At 41.9% G+C, this 22,766-nt stretch overlaps 1 protein-coding gene across 3 annotated transcripts in view, besides 9 other annotated features; it reads left to right on the plus strand.

Annotated features, from left to right (window-relative positions):
- The window catches only part of LYN (LYN proto-oncogene, Src family tyrosine kinase), a 134,335-nt gene that overhangs the window by 47,431 nt on the left and 64,138 nt on the right, over positions 1-22,766 (plus strand). The window contains exons 2-4 of one of the 3 annotated variants that reach the window (NM_002350.4): positions 14,590-14,726; positions 19,183-19,228; positions 20,353-20,458. In NM_002350.4, coding sequence (NP_002341.1) covers positions 14,595-14,726; positions 19,183-19,228; positions 20,353-20,458 — 284 coding nt within the window. In that variant the 5' untranslated portion in view covers positions 14,590-14,594. The remainder of the gene's footprint in view (positions 1-14,589; positions 14,727-19,182; positions 19,229-20,352; positions 20,459-22,766) is intronic. The other 2 variants (NM_001111097.3, XM_011517529.4) reach the window with 2 other exon arrangements.
- Positions 2,814-2,973: an enhancer, noted in NCBI's record as "active region_27388". NCBI's record gives its function as "activates an Ori minimal core promoter by ATAC-STARR-seq in GM12878 lymphoblastoid cells {active_cell/tissue: GM12878}" and the evidence as "EXISTENCE:reporter gene assay evidence [ECO:0000049][PMID:35858748]".
- Positions 3,169-3,358: an enhancer, noted in NCBI's record as "active region_27389". NCBI's record gives its function as "activates an Ori minimal core promoter by ATAC-STARR-seq in GM12878 lymphoblastoid cells {active_cell/tissue: GM12878}" and the evidence as "EXISTENCE:reporter gene assay evidence [ECO:0000049][PMID:35858748]".
- Positions 3,169-3,797: a biological region, named in NCBI's record as "OCT4-NANOG hESC enhancer GRCh37_chr8:56843083-56843621".
- Positions 3,259-3,797: an enhancer, noted in NCBI's record as "OCT4-NANOG hESC enhancer chr8:56843083-56843621 (GRCh37/hg19 assembly coordinates)". NCBI's record gives its function as "activates a minimal SCP1, AML or CMV promoter by ChIP-STARR-seq in naive H9 embryonic stem cells {active_cell/tissue: H9 hESC(naive)}" and the evidence as "EXISTENCE:reporter gene assay evidence [ECO:0000049][PMID:30033119]".
- Positions 7,381-7,440: a silencer, noted in NCBI's record as "silent region_19208". NCBI's record gives its function as "represses an Ori minimal core promoter by ATAC-STARR-seq in GM12878 lymphoblastoid cells {active_cell/tissue: GM12878}" and the evidence as "EXISTENCE:reporter gene assay evidence [ECO:0000049][PMID:35858748]".
- Positions 7,811-7,860: an enhancer, noted in NCBI's record as "active region_27390". NCBI's record gives its function as "activates an Ori minimal core promoter by ATAC-STARR-seq in GM12878 lymphoblastoid cells {active_cell/tissue: GM12878}" and the evidence as "EXISTENCE:reporter gene assay evidence [ECO:0000049][PMID:35858748]".
- Positions 12,282-12,797: an enhancer, noted in NCBI's record as "H3K27ac-H3K4me1 hESC enhancer chr8:56852106-56852621 (GRCh37/hg19 assembly coordinates)". NCBI's record gives its function as "activates a minimal SCP1, AML or CMV promoter by ChIP-STARR-seq in primed H9 embryonic stem cells {active_cell/tissue: H9 hESC(primed)}" and the evidence as "EXISTENCE:reporter gene assay evidence [ECO:0000049][PMID:30033119]".
- Positions 12,406-12,565: an enhancer, noted in NCBI's record as "active region_27391". NCBI's record gives its function as "activates an Ori minimal core promoter by ATAC-STARR-seq in GM12878 lymphoblastoid cells {active_cell/tissue: GM12878}" and the evidence as "EXISTENCE:reporter gene assay evidence [ECO:0000049][PMID:35858748]".
- Positions 12,926-12,995: an enhancer, noted in NCBI's record as "active region_27392". NCBI's record gives its function as "activates an Ori minimal core promoter by ATAC-STARR-seq in GM12878 lymphoblastoid cells {active_cell/tissue: GM12878}" and the evidence as "EXISTENCE:reporter gene assay evidence [ECO:0000049][PMID:35858748]".

A 22,766-nucleotide genomic window follows, 5' to 3' on the forward strand; every position in this document is an offset into this window, starting at 1 on the left:
TCTGGCAACCACTGATCTTTTTAGTGTCTCCATAGTTTTACCTTTTCCAGAGTGTCATACGGTTGGAATCACACAGTATGTAGCCTTTTCAGATTGGCTTCTTTCACTTAGTAATATGCATTTAAGGTTCCTCTATGTCCTTTCATGGTTGATAGCTTATTTCTTTTAAGCACTGAATAGTGTTCTGTTGTCTGGATATAAAATGGATAAATATTTTATTTATCCATTCACCTAATGAAGGTCATCTCAGTAGCTTCCAAGTTTTGTCAATTAGGAATAAAGCTGCTGGCCAGGTGCGGTGGTTCACGTCTGTAATCCCAGCACTTTGGGAGGCAGAGGCAGGCGGATCACTTGCAGTCAGGAGTTCGAGACCAGCCTGGCCAACATGGTGAAACCCTGTCTCTATTAAAAATACAAAAATTAGCTGTGTGTGGTGGCGGGTGCCTGTAATGCCCAGCTACTCAGGAGACTGAGGCAGGAGAATTTTTTGAACCTGGGAGGCAGAGGTTACAGTGAGCCAAGATCACACCACTGTACCCCTGCCTGGGTGACAGAGCGAGACTCTGTCCCAAGGGGGAAAAAAAAAAGAAAGAAAGCTGCTATAAACATCTATGTGCAGGTTTTTGTGTGTACATACGTTTTCAACTCACTTGGGTAAAAATCAAGGGGCACAGTTGTTGGGTCATATGGTAAGGGTATTGTTTAGTTTTATAAGAAACTGCAAGACTGTCTTCCAGAATGGTTGGGTCATTTTATGTTCCCCAGCAATGAATTGGAGTATCTGTTGCTCTGCCTCTTTGCCAGCATTTGGTGTAGTCAGTGTTTTAGATTTTTCCTGTTTAATAGGTATATAGTAGTAGAGTATATCTCATTGTTGCTTGGTTTGTTCGTTTTGTTTGAGACAGAATCTCGCTCTGTTGCCCAGGCTGGAAAGCAGTGGTGCAATCTCAGCTCACTGCAACCTCCGCCTCCTGAGTTCAAGTGATTCTCATGCTTCACCCTCTGGAGTAGCTGGGACTATAGGCAAGCGCCACCACGCCCGGCTAGTTTTTGTATTTTTAGTAGAGATGGGGTTTCACCATGTTGGCCAGGCTGGTCTCCAACTCCTGACCTCAGGTGATCCGCCGACCTTGGCCTCCCAAAGTGCTGGGATTACAGTCATGAGCCACCACGCAGGGCCCATTGTTGCTTTAATTTGCAATTCCCAGGTGACATATGATATGGAGCATCTTTTCATGTACTTATTTGCCATCTGTAGCTCTTCTTTGGTGAGGTGTCTATTCAGATCTGTTGCCCATTTTAAAAATCAGGTTGTTTGTTTTCTTATTATTGATTTTAAGAGTTCTTTGTCTATTTCAGATACCATTCCTTTATTAGATATATATTTTGCAAAGATTTTATTTTAATCTGTGGCTTGTCTTTTTATTTTCTTAAGAAAGTGTCTTTCACAGAGCAGAAGTTTTAGATTTTAATGAAGTTCAATTTATAATTTTTTCTTTCATGGATCATTTTTTCTTTCATGGATCATTTTTTCTTTCATGATCATGGATCATTTTGATGTTGTATGTAAAATGTCATCACCAAACCCAAGGTCATCTAGCTTTTCTCCTATGTTATCTCCTAGGAGTTTTATAGTTTTTTGTTTTTCCTTTAGGTCTGTGATTCATTTTGGGTTGATTTTTGTAATAGATGTAAGATCCGGGTCTAGATTATTTATTTACATACTTATTTATTTACTTACATGTGGATATACAGTTGTTCCAGTACCACTTATTGAAAAAAATATCCTTTCAGTGTTGAATTGTCTTTGCTCTTTTTGAAAGATCAGTTGACTATATTTGTGTGGTTCTATTTCTGGGCTGTTTATTCTATTCATATGTACTGAGTCTTTTTGTTACTTTCAGTGAAGATAAAATCTATTTGTAGCTAATCTTGGTTTGTCTTTGACTCTTAGTTTCCTCATGAGAAGCAGGGATCCGTAGAATAGATCCTTCTTACTGTTTCTTCCATCTTTACTGCGTGAGATTAGTGAGACTAAGTGAGACTAAGACTTAGTGAGACTAAGAATACAGTCGGGATGATGCTTTTCTCATAGAAAATCTCTGGATCTGTTTCAACAGCTACCAGATCTGTGTATGTGTCTTTGTGTCTGTCTGTGTGTGTACAGGCATAGTGGCAGATGTGATTTCTGGTTATGTCCTTTACATTTTATAACAGGATATTAAACTTAACATTCATGAATGAGTAAGAAAGCATATTTTGCCCCAATCTGTAACAGAAAATATCAATAATTGAGTTATTACCAGCAATTAAAACATCAGATTTCCTGGCATGAAGCTTTCATAAGGGGATATTTGGCAATGTTTGAAGACATTTTTGGTTGTCACAACTGGTAGCTGGGAGGCCTGGAGAGGTGCTACTGGCATCCAGTGGGTAGAGGCCAAGGATGCTGCTAAGTATCCTACAATACACAGAACTGTCCTCTAGAACAAATAATTTTCTGGCTTGAAATGTCAGTAGTGCTGAGGTTGACAAACCCTGTTGTAGAGAAGCAGATTTATTTATATCCATGGATATGTTTTCCTCTTTGCCTTGTCCTCTAGATCAGGCATCCCCAACCCCTGGGCCATGGACTGGTACTGGTCTGTGGCCTGTTAGGAACTGGGCCACACAGCAGGAGGTGAACAGCAGTTGAGCAAGCATTACTGCCTGAACTCTGTCTCCTGTCAGATCAGCGCCATAGTAGATTCTCATAGGGGCGTGAACCCCATCGTGAACTGCACATGTGAGGGATCTAAGTTATGTGCTCCTTGTGAAACAGTTTCATCCTGAAACCACCACCCCCCACCTGACCCCGCTCTGTGGAAAAATTGCCTTCCATGAAACCAGTCACGGATGCTAAAAAGGTTGGGGACCACTGCTCTAGCTAACCTAGACTCCTGATGATTTGCCATCTATAGCTAATAAGCAGCAGAAGCTTATGGTGTGATACAACATTCCACTTCTTTTAGGTGTCTTGAGCTGAGTTTCACTTTTTTGTAATTTCATAATAATTTCTATTATGTTACATGCATTTAGATAAGCTGACAACTCTTAAAGTGGGACATAAATACACTATTATATGTATTTCTGAATATGGGTGGCTGGATTGTTGATCATAAAAATCTGAATCTGGAAACAAAGTTGATGTTTAATAACTCTCCTTGGTTGGCTGGATATACATAATTCAGACTCTGCTTTGAATGTCCCCTTCTGGTCCTTTAAATGGTCTATTTCCCTACCTTACGTAAGTTTCCATGAGCTCATCTTGTTTTCATAGTGTTCCCTTTTATTGTTAAGAGAAACAAAACCAAAAAACCCCACTTGTTTCAGCAATGCCCTGTTGTCTTCCTCTGTGTGAAATTGCTCAACTAAGAGTTATGCAAATGGGGATGCGGCACGTGGTGGAGGCTTCTTGCAGCATGTTGATGGGGGACCAAGACCTGGTCTTGCCTCTTCCTCCTCCCCCTGCTGGCTTCATTCCGGTCATACCAGCTCCTGCTGTGGCCATCAGCTCATCCCAGGACCTTGGCAGGGCCTGTTTCTTTTACCTCACACTGAAGCCCCAAACTCTTAGGCTCCAGTAATCCTCCCAGCTTGGCCTCCAGTGCACTGGGATTAGAGATGTGAGCCCCCATGCATGGCTACTCTCTAAGTTCTTACTCCCACGGACAATTAGAGTTTGAAGGACCTTAGGCCATGGGTTCAGATTATCTTATTTTGCTTCAAAATTTTAAAAACTTTTTTATTTTTCTGTCATATACATATACGTGTGTGTATATATATATAAGTTATATATATATAACTTGTATATGTTACTTTTTATATATAATAAAATATATTATATTTTTAAATAAAATATATTATATTTTAAAATATAATATGTAACTCGTACATAGCACATATTATATGTAATGTATCCTATACATAACCTTATGTTGTACATAAATATGTATATTGTTTACCTATTGTACTATATGTACATGTATAACTTGTCTATGTATTATGTATTATAATAAAATACATTGATACTTGTATACATAATTTGTACACAATGGAAAACATTTTTAAAATTTTAGACTAAGGGGAACTGAGCACAAAACCTAAGGGCCTCGAAACTCTGATTTTATACATATATAAAATTATACATATATGTATATAAAATATACCTTTTAAATAAGGTATATATGATGGGAAAATTAAAAATTTGCAAGGGCAAAACCAAAAATAGCTGTAGATGAACATTGCGGTAGTTTAGCCTATTTCTTTTCAGACTTTTTTCTATTCATTTGTACCTTTTCCCTCACAAAATGATATCATGCTATATATACTGTTTTTACATTTTTTCACTTAAATATATTGTGAATATCTTTTTATGTCAATAAATATATATGTATTAAAATTTAATAGTCACTTAGTATTCTTTTGTGTTGAAGTATCATGTTCTAGATCAATTTTCCAAAAGCCAGTTACCAGAAGGGCAATTTGATGTTTTCTCAAATGTTACACCGTACCAGAAGACTTGTTTCTTTTAACTACTTGAATATTATTTTTATTTAAAAAACTTTATGCATTTTTAATGTGCTTTTGCTAGTTCTTCAAATGACATATCAACATTGTTTCTGCAATTAGAAAAAATAAAATTTAAATTTATAAGCCTCAAAAAGAAATTGTAAGTGACCAAATCATTTCCAACACATATGACATGCTTAAACTTTAGTTTCTGAGAAGGTGAAATTAGGATGTGTTAACCTGGCAGCTGTTTGCAAAACCATTTGAGTTGAAAGGATAGAACCATCCTGAAATAAGGAAAGGAAGTGTTCCTGTGCATAGGGATACCAGAAAGAAGCAGAAGACTTGAATCTCAAATGTAATAAAAGATGACATTAAGGTTGAAGAATTTTTTAAAAATTAAAATTCTAAAAATGTAAGGAGAGGTAAAGCAAGAAGTGAATTAGGAAACTACAGAAACAACCATATCTCACATTAAACTTAAGCTACTAATTACTAGTGACAGATTAATATAGTTCTAAGAAGACTCAATAATCCTTAGCTTTCTAAAAAATAGAACATTTGTCAAAATCTTTTAAAACAATTATATATATATTTTTTGTTTGTTTGTTTTTGTTTTTTTTTAGATGGAGCCTCACTCTTTTGCCCATCCTGGAGTACAGTGGTGCTATCTTGGCTCACAGCAACCTCCACCTCTCAAGTTCAAGCAATTCTCCTGCCTCAGCTCCTGAGTAGCTGGGATCACAAGCATGCACCACCACGCCTGGCTAATTTTTGTATTTTTAGTAGAGACAGGGTTTCGCCATGTTGGCCAGGCTGGTCTCGAACTCCTAACCTCAGGTGATCCTCCTGCCCGGGCCTCCCAAAGTGCTGGGATTACAGGCATGAGCCACCACACCAGGCCTAAAACAATTATATTTGATAAGAATTATTATACTCGCATTTATATACCAGGGAATACTACACAGCCATAAAAAATGAAATCATGTCCTGGGCAGCAACATGGATGCAGCTGGAAGCCATTATCCTAAGTGAATTAATGCAGGAACAGAAAACCAAATTGCAGGCTCTCACTTATGAATGGGAGCTAGGCATTGAATACATATGGATGTAAAGATAGGAGCAATAGACACGGGAGACTACTAAAGTGGGGGAGGGAGAAGGGGAGACATTCACCAAAAAACTATTTGGTACTATGCTCACTACCTGGATGGTGGGATCATCTGTACCCCAAACCTCAGCATCTTGCAACATACCCATGTAACAAACCTGCACATGTATTCCTGAACCTAAAATAAAAGTTGAAATTATTTTTAAAAAAGAATTACTATACTCTTAAGCTATGAAAGCACCACAACTAATACCAACTGTTATAAACTTAAGCTGTTAAAACTATCCCATCTAATATGACATTACGTAAATCTGAAATAATTAAAAGATACCAATTTTGGTGAACTGATCATCTTGTAAGTTGAAAACCCTCACAGAACTGGCTTTGGTGATGTGAATTTTGAGAGCTGATCTGCATTTATTTAACCAGTGACCTATAATTTGACAAACAAGCCTATTTCTATATGGTATTCCAAACAGTCCCACAATAAGTATTCTCTTGTATAGAACTTTGTGTAGCCCCCAGTTATTTTCTTATAAGTAATTTATTCCAAGAAGTGGTCATGTTGGGTTAAGAAGTGTGTACATTCTAACGGAGTTTAATATGTACTGTCAAGTTAAAGATTGTATCACTTATCCTCTCATGCCAAGCCCAGTGATTTCATTTTATGGTGAGGCAATTACAGTCCAGAGAAAAGAGTGGTTTTGTCGATAATTACAGGACTGTCAAGGCTGGACTCCACAGACAGGCTTCCTGAGTTCAACACTGTCTCATTATCCTCTTTGCACTCCCTTCCAGGCAGAGCCACATTTCCCTTTCAGTTTCTCTGTTCTAGATGCCAATCTTCCATATACCTCTTTAATTGTCTTGCAATTCTTTTCTGGAAACATTCTAGTAAATGCAGTGATTAAAACTGTGCCCAGTGCTGCTGCCCCTTCACATTGTGGATAACTAGATGACCCTGGGTCTACCTACGGCTGTGCTTATGTCTTGTGGCAAATAATAAAGAAGGAGCTTTGGCCAGGCGCAGTGGCTCACACCTGTAATCCCAGCACTTTGGGAGGCCAAGGCGGGCGGATCACAAGGTCAGGAGTTCGAGACCAGCCTGGCCAATATGGTGAAACCCCATCTTTACTAAAAGTACAAAAATTAGCCAGGCATGGTGGCGAGCGCCTGTAGTCCCAGCTACTCAGGAGGCTGAGGCAGGAGAATCGCTTGAACCCAGGAGGCAGAGGTTGCAGTGAGCCGAGATTGTGCCATTGCACTCCAGCCTGGGCGACAGAGCGAGATCCGTCTCAAAAAAAAAGAAGGAGCTTCAAATCAGGTAAACACAGCAAACAGAAGATAAAAAGAAGTTGGCAAACAGCTTAAGTTTGCCAACAGGGTTTGAATCTTTTCAAATGTAGTCTGTCTTCCATCATTACTGTTTCTTCTTCTTACCCGCTACTCCTTTGCAATCTTGTGTTTAGGTAGGTACAGGGTTGCTGCTGTGCTGTTTGGTAGAAAGAAGCCATAGGTTCTCTCCATATTCTGTGTATGCCGTTCACCGGCCCGCTAAGATTTGACTGGGCACTGCTGATTCGAGGGATGTTAAATGGACACCCACCGTGCAAGTGCATGCAACTGGGAAACTTGTGGATCTCCTGGAAACCTTGACAGGCAGAATGAGGGGAGCCCTGGGACAGCATCTGGCTGTTTTGTCTTGACACCCCTTTCCTCAGTGCTCAACCCTGCATGAGACATGAAGAGAAGAGAAGAGCCAACTCCTTATTCAGACCCAGAGACATCCCTCCTGTGTTGAGGGGGGTGCACCCTGTAACTAGCTAGCTAGTCTTAAACCCACTTCCCACCTCACCCCCCTTTCCCAATTGACCCTCAATAGTCAAAGTGAATGGAGGCTGGCAGGCACCTTGGACACAGGTTCTATCCCAGTCTTTACTCTTTCCAACACTCCTTCAGACACCTCTTTCTCACTTCTCCTAAATCATATCCTCCTCCCTTCTAGGGGGAGCCTGATGGCTCACCTTAGTCACAGACAGGAGCTGACACCTAACCATCGAAGCAGCTCTGTGGTGGAGGTGATGCCCACACCATGGACGGAAGCAGCTCCACGGGCCATGGTCATAGCCTAGAGGTGACGCCCACACCATGGAGGCAGCTCTGTGATCTGAGGGATTCCCGGCACCGAAACAGCATTGCCTTAATTGCCCCCAAACACTGTTCCTATTACACATGACATTTAAACCTTAGGGAGTTACATTCATAATGTTAGGTTGCCTAAAGAAAAAAAACAAAAACAAAAGCAAACTGAAAAAGCCTTAAGTAGGGCCTTATGTTGCAGGCTGGTCAGATAGAGAAAGCCGTGCTATGCAGCTTGGCCAGCCCGGGTTACCAGCTCACCAACTGTGCCCACCCTGGCTGCTGGGAGATTTTATTGAGGAAAAATATTGGAGAATGTTTGAAAATAATGACCATGGTATGTAAGGCAAAAAATCTTAGTTGTTTAAATAAAGACGGTCTGGCTAGGTCCTTTTCAGTTCTCTCTCTTTTAAAAGTGATTTAGGTGCTGGGTGCAGTGGCTCACGCCTGTAATCCCAGCACTTTGGGAGGCCGAGGCGGGTGTATCACCTGAGATCAGGAGTTGGAGACCAGCCTGGCCAACATGGTGAAACCCTGTCTGTACTAAAAATACAAAAATTAGCCATGCTTGGTGGCGGACGCCTGTAGTCCCCACTACTTGCTACTCAGGAGGCTGAGGCAGGAGAATCGCTTGAACCCAGGAGGCAGAGGTTGCAGTGAGCCGAGATCGCACCACTGCACTCCAGCCTGGGCAACAGAGGGAGACTCCATCCAAAAAAAAAAAAAAAAAAACAGGAATTTGGGAAAATTGATGCAAGACTGAACTGCTTGAGTTGGGAATTAATGGAGTTGGTGGTGGAGCTTAGTGCTAGTGCCCTCACCAAGTCTCTCCAGCACTGTTGAGGCTGCCAACCAGGCTATTGTGTCCCCATGTCACTTTGATAAGCAGTTTGGAGAAAGCATTCAACTCTTCTGAAGACTTTGTTTCTCTAATCTGAGTCTCCTTTCCGAAAGTAAAGTAAGAAGGACAATTAAAGGGTATCTAAAGGTTTCTGTGTTGGTGGGCAAAGTAAATCTCTTGAGTTATAGAACTGATACTGGAATGCAAGTGTGTAGGGAACATACTTTTAGGGACGAATTCCTATAAATGATGCTTGAACCAGTCTTGGACCTAATTTGAAACTCAAGATCACTTTTGTTTCAGATAGACACCACCCACCTCTATTTCCCCAGGCTTCCTTTCTCTTCCTCATGTCTTTCTAAGCTCTCTAATTCAGAAAACTCATGGATCTGGAGCTTCCTCCACAGAAAGGCAGCAAGACCTTGCATCAGTAAAGAAGTGCAGCTTTTAGGCTGGGCGTGGTGGCTCATTCCTATAATCCCAGCACTTTGGGAGGCTCACGTGGGAGGATCACCTGAGGTCAGGAGTTCGAGACCAGCCTGGCCAATATGGTGAAACCCTGTCTCTACTAAAAACACAAAAGTTAGCCAGGTGTGGTGGTGGGCACCTGTAATCCCAGCTACCTGGGAGGCTGAGGCAGAAGAATTGCTTGGGCCCGGGAGGCAGAGTTTGCAGTGAGCAGAGATCGCGCCATTGCACTCCAGCCTGGGTGACAGAGTGAGACTCCATCTCAAAAAACAAACAAACAAAAAAGAAGTGCAGCTTTTAGATAGAAGGAATAGATTCTAGGTTCTACAGCACTGTAGGGTGACTATAATTAAAGACAATGTATTGTATATTCCAAATAGCCGGAAGAGCAAATTTTGAATGTTCCCAACACAAAGAAATAATACATTAAAAATAATAAAAGCAACAAAAAAAGAAAAAGTACAGCTTTGAAGCCAGACCAAGTTCCGGTTGTACCTGAGACCTTTGATTACCTAGCACAGGTTCATCTCTGGGTTTTACTTTCCTCATACACAAAGTACCAGGGACAAAGTAGGCACATACGTGTTTATCCCTTTTCTACCCCCCACGTCTTTTGTCTCTGACCCTCATAGACATTTATAGCTACTCTGTTTGCTTTAGGTGGGTGACCAGTTGATATTGCAAAGTCAGGCAATAGACCCAGCAGTTGACTTCAGCAATCCAACTCCATAGTCCTTACTTCAGAATATGTTGTGAATTGTATAGTGTCTTCTTTAGGAATTTCAATACAAAATTTCTATACAGGATCTTTTACCTCACAAGTGGACTTTAGAACCTAACCAACAAGGTGGTGGATGTCCTCTTAGATTTTTTTCCTGTGGACATTAAATATATATACATATATATGGATTGTGTACATATATTAGGTTGGTGCAAAAGTAATTGGCAAAAACCGCAATTACTTTTGCAACAGCCTAATTTAAATATGTATATATAATTTTTTCAATCAGCAATTCTTGATTGTTTGATTAAGAATGTCCAAATATACAAATCTCTCTTTTTAACCCACTCATAATGTGTCACTTTGTTCTAACTTAAAGAACTAACCCCTAATGAGGACATCTAGATTGTCTCTACTATAAGTCATGCTAGCGGGAACATCCTTATGCCCCTGTGCAGTGTATTTAAAGAACAAATTTCAAGAAGTGGAATTCCAATGCAAGATTGCATCTTTGTTGAACAGCTGGATAATGGTAAGGCATTGCTAGATTTTATGAAACCAAAACCCTACTGCCTCTGGTAAGAGTGAGTTTTGTTTTGTTTTGTTTTGTTTTTTTGATGGAGTCTTGCTCTGTCACCCAGGCTGGAGTGCAGTGGCACAACAATCTTGGCTTACTGCAACCTCTGCCTCCCAGGCTCAAGGGATTCTCCTGCCTCAGGCTCCTGAGAAGCTGGGACTACAGACGGGTGCCACCACACCCGGCTAATTTTTGTGTTTTTTAGTAGAGACAGAGTTTCATCATGTTGGCCAGGCCAGTCTCGAACCCCTGACCTCAGATGATCCACCCGCCTCGGCCTCCCAAAGTTCTGGGATTACACTTGTGAGCCACCACACCTGGCCAAGGTAAGAGTGATTTTTAAAAACCAAAAAATTATCCCAGAGTCTGGGAATAAAATAAAAGAGGGATTAAAATCACTCTTCTAATATTCTAAGGCTCTTGAATGAGGATGAGCCACCCCTAATGGATATTCATTCCAATGAAAGAAAGACTTTATAGAAAGAGAAATCTCCAGCCTCACATTTTCTGGATGGGTCAGTGGGTGTTGCTTTGTAATCAAAAGGCTGCCTGGCCGTTTGTGTCTCTTTAGACCATATTGTAAAACTTTTGCAATGAACAGACTAGAGTTGTATTTGCATGTCAAAGCCTCAGTTACTATCTTGTTTTAACCAAATTCTCTACGCATAAAATATGTCTTTATTTACTGTTCAAAAAATGGTTTTGAAGGCACTGCTGACTACATCATCCACAGCACTTGATATAAAGTGCATTATAAGCAAACTTGGAATTCCTGTTGGGGACACACATTCCCATCAGGAACCTGGTCTGCTTCCTCTCTCCTGCTGTGACTCATGACGTCCCTGGCCCTTCTTGCCAGAAAACCTAGGGCAAATGTGCAGGTCAGTTACAGCAGACCTGTTCCCTACAATGTTACCACATTCGCATTTTTCTCATTGCCTTGGCTCTGGTTTTCTGGTTTTATTTTATTAACTTCATTATTGACTCTTTTGTGGTAAAACATTTTAAAGCTTTTTTTCTCTGAGAAAGAGGTAGCCTATAAAAATAATCTCTTTGTTTGGCATTGTTAATAAATAGATGAAACATGCATTTCAAAATACCCATTGTATGGCAAAGTGGTAAGAGCCCAGGCTGTAGACTTAGCTTATGACTTAGACTTGAGAGCGCACTCCTGTGTGAGTGAGTCTTAGCCTCACCCCTCCCAGCTATGCTGTGCGCGAGTCTTTTAACCTTTCTGAGCCTCAGTTTTCTCCTCTGTAAAGTCATCTGGCCGTATGGTTTCTTCAAGGATTAAATGAGATGCTCAATATATTATAAATGTGTAATAGAAGAATACTAAGGTGGAAATCATTGTAAAGTGTAGCTCATATCACTTGGAACATGTAACCACTCTCAGTTTTTGTCAGGAGTATATTGTATTTTCTACATTTCTGGTACTTTCATACAGCATAAGGAATTGCAAGACCTGTTCTGAGTTTGGGTTGCTCATCCCCATGTCACATGGAGGACCTCTGTTGAGGTTTCTGGTGGGAGAGTGTCTGAATGGGGGACCCCAAACACTTTGTGAGCAGAGATCAGCTGTGCCTGAGCAGTGAGGCCATGCTAATTCTCCACGTGGCTTTAATTTTTTCATTTACAGTGCATACATTCGATGTTAAATTATCCATGACAATGGTGGAAAGAAATTAAGCATAAATAAATGGCCATCTATCGATCTTCCTGTCTTGGATGTCACCACCCCACCCACATCCACCTGCTTTTTGTTTCCGTCCTTCCTTTTCCCAAGAGAAGAGAGAGAGAGAGAGAGAGAGAGAACGCTGGAGCGAGCAGCGAGGGCAGGGGAACTGCAGGAACGCAGTGGGGGGGGGACAGGGGATTCCCTGTGCCCTGGTTGTGGCACAGCTCAGTCAGGGCTCGGTCCGTGCTGGGAGGGAGCTGGATCGAGCGGCCCGGTGCGCTGTGGGTTGGCCGCACCCATGCAGGGCTCCTGCCCCGGAGCTCGCGGCGTGCGCAGGGTCCTCGTGCTGCTATTAACGTATTTGCCCATTTGTAAAGCACGATTTTAAGGGATGGTGAGTTAAACACCGCTTTTTCGGGGAGGGTGACGGGGCGTGGGAGGGATGAGACTGGTGAAAAAAGAACTCCCATGCTTACTTAGAGATCAACTCTAAACCCATGGCCATTTCAGAAACTTTAGCGTATTAAAAAATGTGCTGTTTTGAATCAAAGAAGTACTTGCTTCCCCTTTATTTTGGGAACTGCAGCTCGCTAGTTTCAGAAAGAGGTGTGGCTGCTCTTTAGAGGCTTCATACCTCAAGTAATGAAATGATAAACAAGTTGAAGTTCCTAGACCAATTGGAAGCCTGCAGGAAAAAACGCAGGCCTGGACGCGTGGCAGCGATGCCGGAGAGGGCCGAGTTCCCAGAAGAGCTCTTGAGGTTTCTTAGTACAATTCCTCCCCCACGAGATATTGCCTAGTCACACCACCTCTCCCCCTTCCCCAAACTCCTGTCATCTCTCCTTCCTCTAGACTTAACTCTAAGCCCTAGGCACCAGATTTGGCAGTGCTTCAGAATTACACATCACATGGGGAGCAGCATGCTCCCACTGTGCCCCAGAAGAGTTTCCCGGACAGTGTCCAGAGAATCTGTTCGGTGAGAACCAACTTCTAATGAAGTTTGTGAGATTTTATTTTTTTATTATTTATTATTATTATTTTTTTGAGACGGAGTCTTGCTGTCGCCCAGGCTGGAGTGCAGTGGCGCGATCTCGGCTCACTGCACCCTCCCCGGGCCGGGTTCAAGCGATTCTCCTGCCTCAGCCTCCCGAGTAGCTGGGACTACAGGCGTGTGCCACCACGCCCAGCTAATTTTTGTATATTTAGTAGAGATGGGGTTTCACCATGTTGGCCAGGATGGTCTCCATCTCTTGACCTCGTGATCCGCCTTCCTTGGCTTCACAAAGTGCTGGGATTACAGGCCTGAGCCACCGCGCCCGGCTGTTTTGTTTTTAATGCATAGATTTGACCCAATACTGTAAGACAAGAACTGTGTCTGATTCAAATGTTCAAAATCACCTTTGCAGTCCCCAGAGTGCGTGTGTAGTGCTCAGCCGTCCTGCGTTAATGGAATCACTGGATGACAGAGTTCATGTTTAGATGTGCACCGTGTGTTGTTCTGCCCTGGTCAGGCACCAGCCCCCTTCTTGCCATGGTGGCTTTCCTCCACTGTCCTAGCATGGCTTGCGGAGACCGTCATTTTGCTTTTACCTGCGCTAGTACTCCTGGTTTCCTGACTCAAGTAGCTTACTCAGTAGCCCTACTGGATTTGATCATCTGAATGTTTTCATAAGTATCTTCTCTCCCATAAGTGTGTTTCCTCAATTCATTTCCAGTCTTGATGAAAGCCAGGCCATCTTCCTAGGCCCCTACCTATGTTTAGCTGGAGCCAGGTTCTGCAGATTCTAGCTCTTCATCACCTGCCCTTGAAGTCTCAAGGCCCCCCACCCCACTCCACCTTGCACACTGCAGATTGGATGTGTCATTTGTCTTCAGGGTAAAAAATCAACCACTCAGCTTCACATCCAGCATGTGCCTCCCTCTCTGGCCCTGACTCCTGACCTTCCCTACCTGCTCCTTGACTGCAGTGTTTAGTGTTGTAGATAGAGCTCATTTTCTGAAGAGATTAGGTTGATCTAGCTCTCTGAAGGGGCCATGTTATCTTGAGCTCATGGTGGTTGCATATGAAGTTTCTTCTTCCTGGAATCTCTTTGCTGACTTTGCAAACTGGCTGCCATCCCGCCCATTTCAACTCACAGAGCATTTCCTTTAGGAAGCTTTCCCTGACCACCTCCTTTTCCTCTTGCCTGAGTTACATGTCCTTTCTTAGATCCTGTGGGTCCTCTGTCATCGAGTCTTTACACATCTTTGCCACAAGAATACGAGCAGAGTTAGAGCTGGATTTTGTCTGGGTGATGGAAAATTAATGCTCAATAAATATTTGTTGAGTGAATCAATGGACAGGCAAACCTATTTGGGAACAGTATTCACTTTGAGTTTATTAATCTATATATGATAAAGAATAAAAGTATATTTTTTCTACTCTTTTTTATTGGAGACATTTTGATGGCTTGAAGCAGTTCTGGAATGGTAAAACAATGTCATTACTTTTATGTTTCAACAGGAAATATGGGATGTATAAAATCAAAAGGGAAAGACAGCTTGAGTGACGATGGAGTAGATTTGAAGACTCAACCAGTACGTAATACTGAAAGAACTATTTATGTGAGAGATCCAACGTCCAATAAACAGCAAAGGCCAGTAAGTAGATAGTCTCAGGGGAGAATTCCCACAGCAAGATCAAAGCATGGCTACATAATTTAAACACCAGTCTGTAATATGTGCATGCAAAAAAATTCCATTGATTACTTGGTCCTCAAATAATTTTTGATATGCTTTGTAACTTTATCCTTTGAAGAATGTATAAATATTTTAGGGATAACTAGGCCACTCATTGTGCAATTAAAAGGGCCTTTGGTCACATTCTTTTGTGTGAAGAAAGCCATCTTTCATATTACTGGTGCAAAGACCCCACTATATATATATACACACACATATATATGTGTGTGTGTATATATGTGTATATATGTATATATATGTGTATATATATATGTGTATATATATGTGTATATATATGTGTATATATATGTGTATATATATATGTGTATATATGTGTATATATATGTGTGTATATATATATATGTGTGTGTGTGTATATATATATATATACACACATACATACATAGGCTTGTGTGACTCAAGATAGTAGTGAGAGGCTGGGCGCGGTGGCTCACGCTTGTAATCCCAGCACTTTGGGAGGCTGAGGTGGGCAGATCACTAGGTCAGGAGCTCGAGACCAGCCTGGCCAACATAGTGAAACCCCATCTCTACTAAAAATACAAAAATTAGCTGGGCACAGTGGCGGGCGCCTGTAATCCCAGCTACTCAGGAGGCTGAGGCAGGAGAATCGCTTGAACCTGGGAAGCAGAGGTTGCAGTGAGCCAAGATTGCACCACTGCCCTCCAGCCTGGGTGACAGAACAAGACTCTGTCTCAAAAAAAAAAAAAAAAAAAGATGTAGTGAGATTAGCTCAGTGGTTTAGAAGCAAAAGGAAATGTGGGATGCAAGTCAGAAACTAAAATAGGTGCTAATGTGTCTTTTGTTGTATCATACTTTATCCTGTCCTGTCATTTCTTCAATTAATTCAAAATAGTACAGATCCTGAAGTTGTCATCTGTTATTTTAGTGAATTAAAATATTAAGGAAAAACACCTCTAATTCTGTCCCCTAACCTTAGAGAAATAGCTGGACTAGAAATATTTTATGAGTGATGTGCTATTTGGTGTATTTCGGAAATACTTGGCAAAGAAAGAACTAACATCACATTTTATGGAAAGGAAGAACAGAGCTTTGAACAATTATAACCTGAAATCTACTTCATTTCCGAGCTTATATCCTTTGCATATATGTATTCTCTCACTGTATACATGTATACCACCCATAGCCTGCTTTCTATGGAATTCTGCAGCATTTAAGCTGGAAACAGTTTATTCCAGATTAGCCCAAATCCCATTATTAAGAATTTTCAGGCTGGGCATGGTGGTTCATGCCTGTACTTTGGGAGGTCACAAGGTCAGGAGTTTGAGACCAGCCTGGCCAACATGGTGAAACCTCAGCTCTACTAAAAGTACAAAAATTAGCCGGGTGTGGTGGTGCGTGCCTGTAGTCCCAGCTACTTGGGAGGCTGAGGAAGAAGAATTGCTTGAACCCAGAGGGTGGAGGTTGCAGTGAGCCGAGATTGCGCTACTGCACTCCAGCCTGGGTGACAGAGCGAGACTCTGTCTCAAAAAAAAAAAAAAAAAAAGGCATTTTTATAGTTTCTCTAGTCTGACATGTTTTTAAATGCTCAGGTGTTTTAGAAATATATTCCCATTATCAAACCTTTCTGCCTGCCCTCCCCTCAATATGTCCCCATTACCCTGAAGGTAGGAAATATCTGCCATGTATCAAAGTCACATGTCATCATTGAGACAAAGAAATCAACATCGGTCTTCTTAAGAAGTGGAGATAGGCCAGGCACGGTGGCTCATGCCTGTAATCCCAGCACTTTGGGAGGCCGAGGCAGGTGCATCACCTGAGGTCAGGAGTTCAAGACCAGCCTGGCCAACATGGTGAAACCCCATCTCTACTAAAAATACAAAAATTAGCTGGGCATGGTGGCACATGCCTGTAATCCCAGCTACTTGGGAGGCTGAGGCAGGAGAATTGTTTGAACCAGGACCCGGGAGGGAGAGGTTGCAGTGAGCCGAGATCACGCCACTGCACTCCAGCCTGGGTTACAGAGCGAGAGTCTCCAAAAAAAAAGGAAGTGGAGATAAAGAGTGGATATATCATGCTATTAAGTTATCATACATGATGTTTCTTGATAAATTAACATTGTAATTTTATATATAGAAAATATATGTACTTAAAATGTATAGGAATATTAATAGATTTAATTGTGTGATTATAAATATAAAATTTAAAAACCTATTACAGGCAGTGAAAGAAACATTACATAAGTATGTACAGATATAGAACCATATCATATATAAATATGATTAATAGAAAATAAAATAAGAGAAATTAGAGTCACAAATAGTTTTCTTATAGACATCAGAGTTCTCAAAAAAAGATCTGATTTTTCTCATACCATATGCTATAGATTTTGTAGGTTTTAAAACACAAGTTTTTTCGTTTTGCACTTATTTATTCATTTATTTATTTTGAGGTGGAGATTTGCTCTTGTTGCCCAGGCTGGAGTGCAATGGCACCATCTCAGCTCACTGCAACCTCCTCCTCCTGAGTTCAAGCGATTCTCCTGCCTCAGCCTCCCGAGTACCTGGGATTACAGGCATGCACCACCATGCCTGGCTAATTTTTGTATTTTTAGTAGAGATGGGGTTTTGCCATGTTGGCCAGGCTTGTCTTGAACTCCTTACCTCAGGTGATTCACCCACCTCGGCCTCTCAAAGTGTTGGGAATACAGGCGTGAGCCACCACACCCAGCCTGTTTTTTGTTTTTAAATGATGAATAAAGATGTCCTTTATTCAGAAAAGTCAAGGAGAATAGTGTGCAAACCCACACACCGCTTTTTCCTCTTGTTCAAAATAAAGGGGATTAAAAATCAAGTTAGAAAGCAGAAGTAGTAAACACGCTTGAAGTCTTTCAATTCCCTCCTGTATACCATTTTTTGCCCCTTCTGTGGTCACAGATGCCCTCCACTCATGAGCCAGTTAGCCTGGCCTTATTCCATGGCCATAACCAACACTCTCAGCCCTGGCCAGATATGACAAAATGCACGCTATGGATTGATTAAAAGGGGAATTTGATGAGAAGGTGAGGTAGGGTTGATGCAAATTCAACAACATTCTAGAAAAAGCCATTTTAAGGAAAAATCTAGAGCAATAGTATATGTGTGGCATACATGTGTTTCGGTCTTATAAAAAGCATATTAAAATGTTTGTAAGTTAAGGGCTTTTTGAAATTTGAAAAATCAGCTTGCTGCTTTTAAAATGATGTAATTAGTTTCTAGTCTTCTAGTTATTTCCTCTAAATCACATAAAATAGATCATATATCCAAATTATGCAAATCTGAATGACTAAAAAATCAACATAAAACTTCCTGACATAAACATTTGAAGGATAGTATGCAGCCATGGGTTTTTCTGGTACTACAATGTAGTAATTTTCCCTGTCTCACTGAAATGGAGATTTTATGGGCTTTCATCAGAAATTTAAATTTCAGTACAAACTGTTTTGGTCCCATTCTGTGAAGCCACTTTAATCAAAGAGAGACAGAAAAGTTACATGACTTGTGGTATAGGCCTCTGACAGCATCTATCTTACAAGAGGCCCAGAGGCCTCACACAGCCTCATGTGGCACTGTGAAGAAAAGAATTTGATTTTAAAGGTAATTGAGGTGGTCTTCTGTGCCACCAAATCCTTCCCAATAACTCACCCCCCCACTGAAATAACAGGGGATGCCATCTGTCCCTGTGATGGAGTCAGGGTCAGCCCAAGAAAACCTGGATGGGATGGGACTTGCTCTCAGCCTCCAGGGACAGAGCCCTGACCATGCAATTTTATACAATTGGGGAAGCCTCAGATGGGCAGTCCCAGGCTGGGACGGCAACTCCACGAAATCACCAGGGTCCCACCTCTTCCGTCTCCATCCTGCTGCCGCTGGTGTTTGCTTTCTATGTGAAGACTCCAGCCTTCACTTGTTTCTAGGGAGAGAGAAAGAGGCAAGGGAAAAGGGGAGCTGACAGCAAAGCCCTGCACAACCGATCTGCGGACCAAAACTCCCTCTGCCCTCTGCCCGGGGCTAGAGAGTTTGGAAGCACACTCATTGAGCTGGGCAAACTGCCACCCCAAATAATATTAGGGCTCTGTCACCAAAGAAGAGGAGGAGCTAGGATGAGGTGAGCACCTGGCACCTGCCCAGAACCTCGCTCCCTTCCTGCCACCCACAGCAAGTGATAAAGAGCCCTGTCACTGGCCAAGCAGGGCAGGATGCACCTCTACAGGTTTTTCCCTCTGTGCTCCTGTTCTTTCTGACTTAATAAATGAGCCCATCCTAACATCTGCTACTGTTACAAAAATCATATATACAACACGAATGTGAGTAAGAAAAGCTAAACAGAATTTTTTTTTCTAACAAATATTCTCTCGTAGGTTCCAGAATCTCAGCTTTTACCTGGACAGAGGTTTCAAACTAAAGGTATGTTTTCATAGCAACATAGTTAAAATTTTTTTTCTTTACTATTAGAGCTTCTATAAAGTGATTGTCCTAAATGTTTTTATTTTTTTTTATTGTGGGACATATATAACATAAAAATTTACCCTCTTAACTATTTTTAAGTATACATTTCAGCAGCATTAGGTACATTCACATTGTTGTACAACCAATACCGCCCTCCATCTCCAGAATGCATCTTCTCAAACTCCATACCCATTAAACAATAAGTCCCCATTGCCTCCTCCCCCAGCCGCTGGCAACCTCCGCTCTTTCTGTCTTTATGAATTTCACTACTCTAGGTACCTCCTAGAAGTGGAATCATACAGTAATTGTCCTTTTGTGTTTGGATTATTTCACTTAGCCTGATGTCCTCAAGGTTCATCCATGCTGTAGAAAGTGTTAGAATTTATTTCCTTCTAATAGTGAATAATATTTCCTTGTAAGTATATGCCCTGGCCGGGTGCAGTGGCTCACACCTGTAATCCCAGCACTTTGGGAGGCCAAGTTAGGTAGATCACCTGTGGTCAGGAGTTCGAGACCAGCCTGGTCAACATGGTGAAACCCCGTCTCTACTAAAAACACAAAAAATTAGCCAGGCGTGGTGGTGGGCGCCTGTAATCCCAGCTACTGGGGAGGCTGAGGCAGGAGAATAGCTTGAACCCAGGAGGTGGAGGTTGCAGTGAGCCGAGATTGCACTATTGCACTCCAGTCTGGGCGACAAGAGCGAGACTCCGTCTCAAAAGAGAAAAACCAAAATGCTACATGATGTTTATCCATTCCTCCATCAATAGATGTTTGCATTATTTCCACATCTTGGCTATTTTGAATAATCCTGCTGTGAACATGGGTGTATAATTTCTTAAATATAGAGTTGTATTTATAGTTTTAGTTTTAAGTGATTTGCAAGAACAAATACTGGACACAGTGTATACAGCAAGGTACTCTCTGTGGGCCGTGCAGACCCTGAGCCCACTAGGCAGGAAGCACATGTCCTTCTTCCAGTTGCCCCCTCTTAGTGCTTCCTCTCATCCTTTGTGCCCCATGAGGTTTGTTAAAACGCTTCTGCTGATGGATTCTTACAGGTGTTCTCTTGTGTTCATCTTTAGATCCAGAGGAACAAGGAGACATTGTGGTAGCCTTGTACCCCTATGATGGCATCCACCCGGACGACTTGTCTTTCAAGAAAGGAGAGAAGATGAAAGTCCTGGAGGAGTAAGTGCTCTCAAGCACGCCACGGCTGCTCGTTTCCTCAGGCCACTGAGTCCTGCAGGCTGTCCCCTTGTCTTGCTTCTGGTGCTACAGCCATAGCCCGGCCCCTTTCTTGTAATGGGTATGAGGCCTCCTTGCTACCCACAGGGAGTGGGCAGTGGAAGGAATAGAGCCAAAGGGATTTTCCTTTTAAGTCGGTCTGTGAGCACACTTCAGGGGGTTTCCCTTTGAAGACAGACAGTGGTTTTTCTTTAAAACAATTTTTTTTTTTGAGATGGGATCTCTCTCTGTCATCCAGGCTAGAATGCAGTGGCATGATCATAGCTCACTGCAGCCTTGAACTCCTAGGCTAAAGCAATCCTCTCACCTCAGCCTCCTGAGAAGCTAGGACTACAGGCATGTGCCACCAGGCCTGGCTAATTTTTAAAATTTTTGTAGAGATGGGATCTTGTTATGTTGCCCAGGCTGGTCTTGAACTCCTGCTGTCAAGCAATTCTCCTGCCTTGGCCTCCCAAAGTGCTGGGATTACAGGTGTGAGCCACCACACCCAGCCTGGTTTCTTTCTTTATCCACTCTTGCCACCTTAAGAAATTTGGGTCTGTGTGGCCCATGCATGATACTTGAAATGTCACTTTTCTTTTGTTATATTACTCATGTTTAGACTGGGTTCATGGGCCCAGCCTAGCTTGAGTTCTAAGGGTACTGAGCTACAGCAGCTGTGTTGGGAAATTCTCAACTCAGCAGCTGCCATGCTTTTGTGAGGACGCCTGAGTGTCGTCATCTCCTCAACCCCCTCTTGCTGACTCAGACATGTGGCAGTGTCAGACCATAGGCATGCAGGACAGTGCTCAGAATAAGAAACTCCAGTTGCTTTAATTCTAGCTTGCTTTTCTTACTAATCTTGCATTAAATGTCACTGTGACCTGCCAAATAGGGTTTGAGGGGGAGACTCCCTTATTAAGGACAAGGTGTTCCGTGGTTGAGAGCAATGTTGCATATGGGTTGAACAGGGACTTAAGCCTGATCCTGGCCCTGCCACTTGATAGCTGTATGACCTTGACAAGACCCTTAAACTTTATACCTTGGTTTCTTTACTTATAAAATGGGAATGACAGTACCTAGATCATGGGGTTGATGTGAGCATGATGCATGTGTTTAAACATGACATAAGCAAAGAGGATGCAGAGCTTAGTATTAGTTCTAGTTGCCTTCATGCCTTACAGACAAGGATCCTGTCTGTGTGTGGAATTTATAGAGGAATGCAGTTAAGGCTCAAAGGGACCCATTCCTTCCCCCATTACCAGCTTACCTGCTTGCTTCTTCCAGTGCTCATCCCTGCCTCCTCCCTGGCTCCATGCCTGCCTTTCTGCTGAGGACTCGAGCATGGTGCTGAAGCTCACTTGCTTGGAATTGTCTTATGGTTTTCTTCTTTTCATAGTGTCCATCTCTATGATAACTAGATGTTTGAACAAAGGAGTTTATAATGCATGAACTGTGGACCAGTATTCCCTTGACTCTCATTTCTATAAGGATTTGAAAGCATTTCTTAGCTATCCTGGGGCAAGTTACAAACCTTTTGTTTCTGTGAGATGGGAGCCATTTGTACCAACTCTTCTTTGTGCACCCCTGATCGCAGTGATGCGTGCTTTAGTTGTAAGGCTGTTTTCCTTTGCTTCTGTCTCTAAACATATTTTAATTCCATCACGGAGAGTGAATTTTCCCACTGGATTCTGGGGTTCCAGAGATGTTCTCCACCCGCCTTCACCATCCTAAACAAACATCTTGAGACAATTGCTATTGTAGCTGTTGAGTCTTGGATATAAACACTTTTTTCCTTTTATTTTTAGTTGACATGGAATAATTATATGCAGTCATGGGATACAGAGCGATATTTTGATACATGTATGCAGTGTGTACGGATCAAGTCAGCGTAATTAGCATATCCATCATCTGGAACATTTATTCTTTCTTTGTGTTGTGAACATTCAAAACCCTCACTCCTGGCTTCTTTTCTTTGTCTCTCTCTCTCTCTTTTTAATAGCTTTATTGAGAATTCACAATACCATACAATCCATCTACTTAAAGTGTACAATTCAGTGATTTTTTTAGTATAGTCACAGAATTGTGCAATCATCACCACAATCCATTTTAGAACATTTTAAATACCCCAAAAGGAAACCCTGCACCCCTTAGCTGTCACCTCAACTCTCCCATTCTCTGCAGCCCTAGGAAACCACGAATCTACTTTTTATCTCTGAAGACTGACCTATTCTGGATATTTCACATAAATGGAATCATACAATATGTGGTC

This window comes from Homo sapiens, chromosome 8, assembly GCF_000001405.40.
Source record: "Homo sapiens chromosome 8, GRCh38.p14 Primary Assembly".
Taxonomy (NCBI): domain Eukaryota; kingdom Metazoa; phylum Chordata; class Mammalia; order Primates; family Hominidae; genus Homo; species Homo sapiens.